Source organism: Homo sapiens, chromosome 3, assembly GCF_000001405.40.
Source record: "Homo sapiens chromosome 3, GRCh38.p14 Primary Assembly".
In the NCBI taxonomy this organism is placed as follows: domain Eukaryota; kingdom Metazoa; phylum Chordata; class Mammalia; order Primates; family Hominidae; genus Homo; species Homo sapiens.
In genome coordinates this window covers 19125694-19136037 of record NC_000003.12, presented here as the reverse complement: position 1 = coordinate 19136037, position 10344 = coordinate 19125694, and the positions used below count along the sequence as shown (strand labels likewise).

Here is a 10344-nt window from a genome sequence, read left to right as displayed (position 1 = left end):
GATACTCAGTGCTGATGTAAATGGCAATGCCGTCATCACTCAGCTAAAAGAAAAAAGAAATCAAGGGGAGGGAATGTGAGCAGTTCTAAGTGCTGATGAAGTAGATGTTTAAAAACTGTAAGTTCTTAGTGGTCAGACATCATGCTATCCACTTCTTTTTTATTAACTCATGGTACTAGCTCAATGATCTCTTTCTTTTCAGAATTATAGTAGCACTGCCCAAATTCTCTGTCTGCTAATGTCTCACGCAATATCAAGGCATGTCTTCTTTTGATGTCTTGACTTCATTCTATAAAATATAGTTTCATTATTTTCCAATGCTGTACACGTTAGGTCTGCTACTAGACCAGAGGTAACTTAGGGGAAAGGATTATATTTTAGATTCTTTCTTTCATAGTACCTATACTGAACCAGTGTTCTTTGTAGGTTTTCAATACAGACTTGTATGCTCTGCACATGCTGGGTTATTTAGGCAGTGTGTATTGATCAGGTGAACTTAGCTAGAGCCTCCATATTGCCAGTTCCTTCATTCTAATATTTAAATGAAAATCTTTGAACTGCAGATTCCTTTCAACTACATTTTTTGTTACTTCTTCAACTCAATCCCTTCTTTCTTTTCTTCTTTTTATTACTTAGCTACCATCTTCTTTTCCAGATTTTGCTGAAAATTCACCTACTTTAAAAATCTTCTACTTTTAGGCCGGGCATGGTGGCTCACGCCTGTAATCACAGCACTTTGGGAGGCTGAGGCGGGCAGATCACGAGGTCAGGAGATCGAGGCCATTCTGGCTAACATCATGAAACCCCGTCTCTCCTGAAAATACAAAAAATTAGCCGGGCGTGGTGGCGGGCACCTGTAGTCCCAGCTACTCGGGAGGCTGAGGCAGGAGAATGGTGTGAACCCAGGAGGTGGAGCTTGCAGTGAGCCGAGATATCGCCACTGCACTCCATCCCGGGCAACAGAGCGAGACTCCATCTCAAAAAAAAAAAAAAAAAAAGTCTTCTACTTCTAATCTTTTTCCACTTTGACCATCACTTTAACTTGAAGTGATTTAAATCTTGAATATCTAGTGTTTCCTTTGTTGCTGCCATCTTTAAATGTTTCTTATGTAATTTCGCTCTAAAAACACTGCTTCTAAATAAACTTTAAGGAGCAGTCTTGGGTCATTTCTTTTTTATTGCTGAGTATGCAATGAGTGGCAAATTATAGTAGCTAAATAAATGCTGTTTTCTTCCCTTTGCAGCAGCCTCAAAATAGCAGGCAGTCAAAACGTGTTTTAAAATTACACTGTCAAAACACTTTCTGGTGATGAGGTTGGCACTTAGGGAACATTGCCACTCTACTGTGTTTGTTAATTCAAAGTGGAATGTTGTAAAATGATAAGAAATTCAGTAAATTTTAGAATCACAGGATGGCAAAACTAGAGAAGACTCTAGAAGCTATGCAGTGACTCTAGCAGGGGAGGGATGGCACACTATAAAAGGCTGTGACTTTTCCAAAGTCAAACAGCCAAGTCAAGAAAGAGTACTTAGATCTAAATTGTCTTAGTAGAATACTCTTGTGACTTTGCTTTTGTAGCTCTGCTTTTTCCTGGATCAATATTTTTGAGACTATTAACATGGTGTACTTCTTGATGCACAATCTCTCATGTGCTCATGGAAGGTAAATTTCCTCGTTTTCTTTTGAGTTAAATTATTCTGATAAAATATTTATGGCAGTTAATCTTTTGTAGACCACCTTCCATGCTTCTCAAACTGGCATATATGTGCCTTTGATAATTCATGGTATGTGGTAAAGTTATTTCTGAAGACATAATATAAACAAGGCACATATTCCAGAAACTTCATTTTTGTATTAATATACAGTGATATATTTCCTTTTAATAAAGGAATTTTTTAAAAATTCAAAGTTATGGCTGTCACTTCAGATCATTCTCCCTGGTATATGCATTCAGGCTACCTTGAGGTTAGCAGAACTCAAGAAGAAAAATTGAAGTAGAGAATGTAACAGTATCTAGTGAATTGCAGAATATCTGCAACATCAGTTTATAAAACTACCTCGAGTTATTACATAACCTGTTGTTTAACCTTCACTTTCTATCTATTAATCTTATTATTTGTGTCCCCTACCATTTAACTAAGTACGGACCATATATATATTTGTTGCCTATTAAATGTAGAATATATAGTAAGGATGACAAAGAGTTATTGAGACTGTAAAGTTAGAGGACTTGAAGATTCTGCCTTAGGAAATATGCAAATCCAGATATGACTAAATAGTATCAAGGAATTTAGAAGTTACAACACTTTGAGAATATTTTAAGCTCTAAGAAAAATTAGAAAAGAACAATTCTGGGTTTCTTTAACAAAAGCTTTCATTTTAAGTTACAGATGTGAGAGAAAACAGATGGAAAGTTCAATAAAGCCTATTAGGCACATAGTTTATAATAAGAACAAGAATTAAAAGCTCAGTAGCTTCTACATGCACATTAATTGATCATTCTATTATACAGTTATCTGATTCTATATGCTGTCTTATTCTGTCTAAGAGAGACGCACATAAAATATAACATTAAAGATAAATCAATCACATTTGAGTTTTACTCAAAAGGAAAAAGGAAAACATTCAAATAATGAAGTTAATGAAATAATAAAATTATTAGAATTTTGTATCTTTAAGCTTATGGATTTTTTTTAAAATAAAAAAGTCAACACTTTCACATTGTAGAGCAGAGATTTTTAGAGATATTATTTTCCAAAATAATGATACATTTTAAAAGAATATAATTAATAGTTAACTTTTCACTAGTCCTTTCTTTCTTTCAGCTGATAATTTTATGTGACAATAACAATGTTTTTTGGGAAGTTAGAGAGCAGATCCAAAGAAACAACTTATACAAATCATTGGAAATACTAAAATATATTTGATAGGGTGAGGCTGTAATGGCTTATTCTTTCCATTAAAAAATACACAAGGATCAATATCATGGGTATGCTTAATGTACAAAATAATTCAAAATGAAAACAATTCACAAAATTATTCAGGTACCACAGAGATGTGATTGCCTCAATGAGGAATGAGTGAACGTATGAATGAATGAAGGAGTGGAGTACTGCTTGATGAGGCAGCAGGTCCCTTGCCTCAATGTGTTATTTGCTTCTGTAGAGTATGATGCAGAAGTGTGAGTTTATTTGAATTTTGGAAATAAATAAATTTTTTTAATCAACAAGCCCACACTGTAGATCCTTTATATTAAGTTCAATTTCAACAGTTAAACACTTCCCTTGATAGCATTTTGTAAGCTTAGTCATTCTTCTTTGCCAAAGACAAATACACACACACACACACATATATATATAACAACAAAAAAACAAGAACAGCTATCAGTTTTATTCTAATTGCTGTTGAATGGTTATTTAAGCATATGCAGAAGAGTTTTGGGGAAAGTAGCTAAAGTCGCCACTATTTCCTATCCTTTTTTGTTTTTTTTAAAGGATTAGGTCTTTTAAAAATAAGTCCTTGAATGACTTACTTAAATGTATATTAATATATTTAAAGGATAGATAGTACTTAGTTGCATTGATTGCATTCAGGTAAAATTAGAAGTTAAAAGCTAATAATTAAATTAATATTTAAATAATTGGTCATTAAGTTAAAAATTTTTTTGTCATGTTCAAAGTTTCAAGTTTCATTTAATTGCTTCCTGAAACATGACAAAAATAAAGTTTACTGATTTTTGTGGATTATAAATTCACAAAATCAAAAACATAACTTAAAATTGATTTTTTTCATATTATTATATTAATATGGATAATGGCTCCTTTCTTATACAAACTATGTATAATAATTTGAATATACATGTTTCAGAAGGTAAACAGAGAAAAGAGGTTTCTAAACATTGGAACCTTTTCCAATGTATAATTGGAAAATCACTGGACTTGGAATCAAGGGACTTGAGTTTGAGTCCAAGTCTTGAACTCTTAGGACACGTAAATCATATCATAAACATTCAAAATCTTTGATATCCAAAATGAAACTTATTGACTAGATTCAATATTGCTCACTTTTCTGTGGTAATTTCCCTTAAGGACATGCAGCATACATTTTATAGGTCTCTAGTGCAGTATTTTTCAGAGTACGATACTATGAGTTGTTTGTTGGATGAGTTCAGATTATACCAAGATGACATTATTTAACATTTATCTATTATTAAAATACATATTAGAAAACTATTTTCCTATTTTATTAATGATTAAAATATTCTTTAATGTTTACATTCTTTTGTTAGCAGTAGAAGAGATCTGAACCAGCACTTTGGGAGGCCGAGGCGGGCGGATCACGAGGTCAGGAGATCGAGACCATTCTGGCTAACACGGTGAAACCCCGTCTCTACTAAAAATACAAAAAATTAGCCGGGCGTGGTAGCGGGCGCCTGTAGTCCCAGCTACTCGGGAGGCTGAGGCAGGAGAATGGCGTGAACCCGGGAGGCGGAGCTTGCAGTGAGCCGAGATCGCGCCACTGCACTCCAGCCTGGGCGACAGAGCGAGACTCCGTCTCAAAAAAAAAAAAAAAAAAAAAAAAAGAAGAGATCTGAATTACCCCAAGTTACTGGTGACGAATCTGTAGGCGTCTACAACAACTTCAATTTTTGCCTCCTCAGAAGAAAGAATTCCACTGAGGGGCATAAAGCGGAAAAAGAGACTGAGGCAAGTTCCAGAGCAGAAGTGGAAGTTTATTAAAAAGGCTTTAGAACAGTAAAGAAAGGAAAGAACGCTTGGAAGGGATCCAAGTGGGCACTGAGGCCCAAGAGAGAAAAAAGAAGAGCGTTTAACCTTTGATCCTAGGACTTCTTAGGCTCGCCTCTTTCCCATGATTCATCTCTTAGGGTAGGCTTTCCTCATGTGCGGTGCTCTCCTACCCTTGGGAACTGAACATACTGAGTGAGTTTAGGGAGTTATATACATGCCTGTCTGAAGCTTTCTTTCCTTTTTCCAGTGGAGTGTACCCGGAAGATTGTACTTCGCCATTTTGTCTCTTAATGTGCATGCCCAGGAAGATGCTTCTCCCTGGGGTCTGCCTTTAATTAACACTTTAATGTTCACAGGTATGAATCATCAGGAAATGGCCTCTCCCTGGCACCGGCTGCCAATTTATCACTTTTAGAGAGGCAATGAGATTTACTGCCGAACCATCACCTGACATTTCTAGTGGGTGAGGGGAGAGACCGCTCCTCCCCACTCATGTCTGTCTACCTACCTATAACACTTTAAATTGTTTTAAAAAAGGTTATACAAAATATTAGTATAAATATAATAGGTGGTAATAAAGTAAAAAATATATGTTTAAATGGTGGAGAACGCCTGATTATTGGGAAATATATACTTCCCTAGGCAATGCAAACCAGGTTTGAGAACTGCTTTACTACACAGTAACTGAGATTCCTTCCAATTTTCAAATACAGGCCTCAAATAGAACTGAATCACAGTAGCTTTCCACTAGATGGCAAAAAAGAGACCACACAGTCTCTCTTTTGTATACTAAGTATACATTTTGTATCCTACATGTAAACTTCGGTAACTCTAAACTAAATTTTGTTTTTCTTCAAAATCCAGTCCCTTATGTATTGGGGAGTACCTTCACATTAGTTATTCAAGGATTTTTAAATCTTAGCTCTTTGAGGCATTTTAAATGGAAGCTATCATATGGATATAGCCCATCACCCAGGACCCCTCCCAAGGGTATATGGTTCCAATAATCCAGTATAGAGTTGATGTAAAGGCAGACATAAAAATGAAAGAAACAAAATAACAGACTACTGAAATAGATCCATTTATATAAGGCTAAATTTTAATATTTGTACTGTCGATGAAAGGCATCAAACTCTGTAAAATATTTGAAGAGATTTATTCTGAGCCAAATATAAGTGTCCATGGCCTGTGACACAGCCCTCAGGAGGTCCTGAGAACTTGTGCCTAAGGTGGTTGGGGATGCAGGATGGTTTTATACATTTTAGGGAGGGATAGGACTTAAATCAATTACAGTTAAGAAAAACATTGGTTTGATCCAGAAAGGTGGGACAACTTGAAGGGGAGTGGGGTCCAGCTTATAGGTAGATTTAAACATTTTCTGCTTGACAATTGGTTTAGTTTAACCGAAGACCTGGGATCAATAGAAAGGTATGTCTGGGTCGAGATAAGAGGTCCTGGAGACCAAAGTTTTATCATGCAGATGAAGCCTCCAGGTAACAGGCTTCAGAGACAGGTTGTAAAATGTCCCTTATCAGACTTAAAGTCTGTGTGGACGTTAATGCCAGAGAGGTATAAAGAGAAACGTCCAACCCCGCTTCTGTCATGGCTTGAACCAATCTTTCAAGTTAAATTTTAAAAGAGCCCTGGCTGAGGAGGAAGTCCATTCAGATGGTTGGAGGACATTCATTTAATTTTTGGTTTATAGTACTGCGATAGTTAATACTGAGTGTCAACTTGAATGGATTGAAGAATTTAAAGTACTATTCCTGGGTTTGTCTATGAGGGTGTTGCCAAAGGACACTAACATTTGAGTCAGTGGACTAGAAGAGGCAGACTCACCTTCAATCTAGGTGGGCACAATTTAAACAGCTGCCAGTGCAGCTAAGATAAAAGCAAGCAGAAGGACGTGGAAGGACTAGACTGACTAAGTCTTCTGGCCTCCATCTTTTTCCCATGCTGGATGCTTCCTGCCCTCAAACATCGGACTCCAAGTTCTTCAGCTTTCGGACTCTTGGACCTACACCAGTGGTTTGCCAGGGGCTGTCAGGCCTTCAGCCACAGACTGAAGGCTGCACTGTCTGCTTCTCTACTTTTGAGGTTTTGGGACTCAGACTGGCTTCCTTGCTCCTCAGCTTGCAGATGGCCTATTGTGGGACTTCACCGTGTGATCCTGTGAGTCGATACTCCTTAATAAACTCCCTGTTATATATACATCTATCCTATTAGTCCCGTTCCTCTAGAGAACTCTGACTAATACAAGTACCTAAATATTTCAATAGGGAGAGTATAATCTTTTACTAACAATTCTCAAACAACTGGAAACTTGTTTGGAAAAAAAAAAGTCTTGACCTTTATCACACATGACACACACACAAAAAATGCAAAATGGACCATAGATCTAAACATAAAAGCTGAAACTACAAAATTTCTAAAAGGCAACAAAGAAAATCTTTGTTAATATAGAGTTAAAAAGAAGAAGATTTCTTAAGATTTCTTAGATAGGTTACAAAAGTACCAACATTATAAGAAAAAAATTATAAATTAAATGTAATCAAAATAAAAAAGAAACTACTCTTTGAAAGGCATTACTATGGAAAGCAAAAGAAAAGCCACTAATTGGAAAAAAAAATTACAGTACAGATATCTGATAGAGAGAAGTCTCCAGTAAACATTAAAACTTTCGTTACTCTAATAAAAAGGCAAACACCCAATTTAAAAAAAGATGGGCAAAATATTTGAACAAACACTTCACAAAATAAGACATACAAACAGCTAATAAACACATTATTAATTATCAGGAACACACATATTAAAATAATGAGATATCACTATACATTCACCTGAAAGGCAAAATTGTTTTTTAAAAGATCGGCAGTATCACATGTTGGGAAGAAAATGGGGCAACTAAAAGTCTCATACATACTAGTGGGAATATATAAGCACTTTGGAATAAATTTTGCAGTAATGTTGAAGTAAAGCATATACTTACTATATGACATATCAGTTCCATCCCTAGATATTTACCTAATAGAAATAAAATACATGTCTATAGAAAATCTTGTACACAAATGCTTATAGTGGGTATAATCACAGTAGCTCCAAACTGGACGAATAGATAGAAAACTATAAACATACAATATAGTACTACTCAGTAATAAAAAAGAATGAATTACTGCTACATGTGACAACATGGAACGTCTTAGAAAAGTGCATAAAGAAACGAGAGTACATAGTGTAGTATTATTCCATTTATATTAAATGCTAGAATTTTAGCATTTCTAGATTTCTGTAGTAACAGAAAACAGATCGGTTTCCTGTTTTTCAATTTAAGAAAAGTTATGTTGCCAAGGAAGATGTAGTAAGAACATATGAGCACTGATGATGCTCACGATTGAAATGATTTGAGAAGAGTTGGACTCTGAGTGGGAACACATTTTAGGATTCTCGTAACTAGCATATTTGACTCTCACCCTTATACTCCTTCTAATGAATACCCCCCAAAACTTATATTTTAAAAATCTACATCTAAAAATGTCTAACAGAGATCTTTCAAAACATATAAAATTTTCAAAACCTTAGGGATTGTAAGTCATTGATTCTTAGTTTAATTGGAAGTATTTTTTCCCCAGTAGTATGTAAAATGATAATGCTTCTTCAAATGAACACTATTTTAGATTAAATATTAGATTTCTTTCATTGTAAGTGAAAACATAAGAGACTCCAACTTGCTTAAACACTAAAGGGAATCAATTATTTTACTTAATCATAAAGTCAAGTTTTTCAGCTTGAATCAGGTAAGTCTTGAGCCAGGGATTAATAATGTCATTAAGAAACTGGGTTTGTGTTTCCACTCTATCTTCCCCTTTATAAGCTTCATCTTCAGGTTATCTTCTTTTATAATGTCAACATCACTCCAGCAGTTGCTGGGGCTACAGGCTTCTTTTTCCACATTCATCAGGATAAAGTGGGAACTTTCTCCCAGAGATCCAGAAAAAGTTAACATATAACTCTTTTTGGACCAGCTTAAGTTGCCTGATCCACCCTTTGGTCCCTAAAAGTAATAGGAAATTCTTGTACAAGAAGAAAGAGATAGGAAATGGATGCAAGGAAAGCAATCACAAATGATAAGACAATTCTCTTATTTACCAAATATAGCAGGCTTATTAATTCCCATATTATCACACGCATCAGAGCTCTTGGGCCTGACTTCCAACTGCTAGCACCTGCATCTGTTTGCCTGAGGACTTTTTTGGTCTCCAAAATCCCCTTTGTCCACCTATGCAAACAGGACAGAAGAGGAAGAAAGTTAATGGCCCTGATATGGTTTGGATCTATGTCCCCACCCAAATCTCATCTCAAATTGTAATCCGGAAGTGTTGAAGGAGGGAGGTGATTGCATCATGAAGGCCGTTTCCCCCATGCTGTTCTCATGATAGTGAGTGAGTTCTCAGGAGATCTGATGGTTTTATAAGTGTTTGTCATTTTCCCTAATTTTACTTCTGTCTCCTGCTGCCATATGAAGAAGGTCCTTGCTTCCCCTTCACCTTCCACCATGAAGTTTCCTGAAGCCTCCCCAACCGTGTGGAACTGTGAGTCTATTAAATCTCTTTCCTTTATAAATTACCCAGTCTCGGGTATTTCTTTATATCAGTGTGAAAACGGACTAATATAGGCCTCAATGTGGGTGGATAAATACCCTAGCTCCTACTTCCTTTGCTCTTTGGGTTAGGATAATATCATTCTTGTTCCTAGAGCAGGATTAAATACTACTAGCCCGCAGTGGTAAATGATTTGATAACCAATTATTTATTTGTTGATTTACCTTGCCGCTCTCATTTCTCCACTTCCTTGTCATGTTTTCTTGTTCCAAAGAAACTCTTTGCACTTGGCTCAGGATCTACTTCTGGGAAGACAAAAATTCAGTGATATTAAAGCTTCATCTTTCCCTACTCGTCTCAAATAAAGAATTTATTCTTCAACATATATCTGAAACTCAGTTTCCTCCTGAATAAAATGAAGATAATAATGTCTGCTCCACTTTTCTTTTTTTTTTCTCAAGGTGACCAGTGAGCTTTATTCTTTTAAAATCAGAGTAAGCATAAGGATTAAACATATTTCAATCCACTGCAATTGTTACTCTTTTTTTAATTTAACTTTTATTTTAAGCTCAGGGGTACATGTGCAAGTTTGTTATACAGGTAAACTTGTGTCATGGGGTTTTGTTGTACAGATTATTTCATCACCCAGGTATTAAGTTTAGTACCCATTAGTTAATTTTCCTGATCTTCTCCCTCCTCCCATGCTCCACCCTCTGGCAGGACCCAGTGTCTGTTGTTCCGCTCTATGTGTCTATGTGTTCTCATGTGCTCCACTTTTCTTAACAGGACTGATATAAAGTTCAAATGAGATAATTCATTTAAAAAATGTTTTCTAAAATGCTGTGCAAATGAGCATTGCTATTGTTATAACTGCTATTGTTATACCTCAATTATTGGCAAGTAAACAGCAAAGAGTGTTCATCAGTGGCAGGATTCCAGGTGATGCCCTCTGCTTTCTCTTAGAATCAAAAAGGAAAAGAATTAATAAAAAATCAGA

At 35.8% G+C, this 10344-nt stretch overlaps 1 annotated feature.

Moving 5' to 3' along the window:
• Positions 8654-9853: an enhancer, noted in NCBI's record as "CDK7 strongly-dependent group 2 enhancer chr3:19167677-19168876 (GRCh37/hg19 assembly coordinates)". NCBI's record gives its function as "activates an origin of replication core promoter dependent on BRD2, BRD4, P300/CBP, MED14 and CDK7 cofactors, with strong dependence on CDK7, by STARR-seq in HCT116 cells {active_cell/tissue: HCT116}" and the evidence as "EXISTENCE:reporter gene assay evidence [ECO:0000049][PMID:35650434]".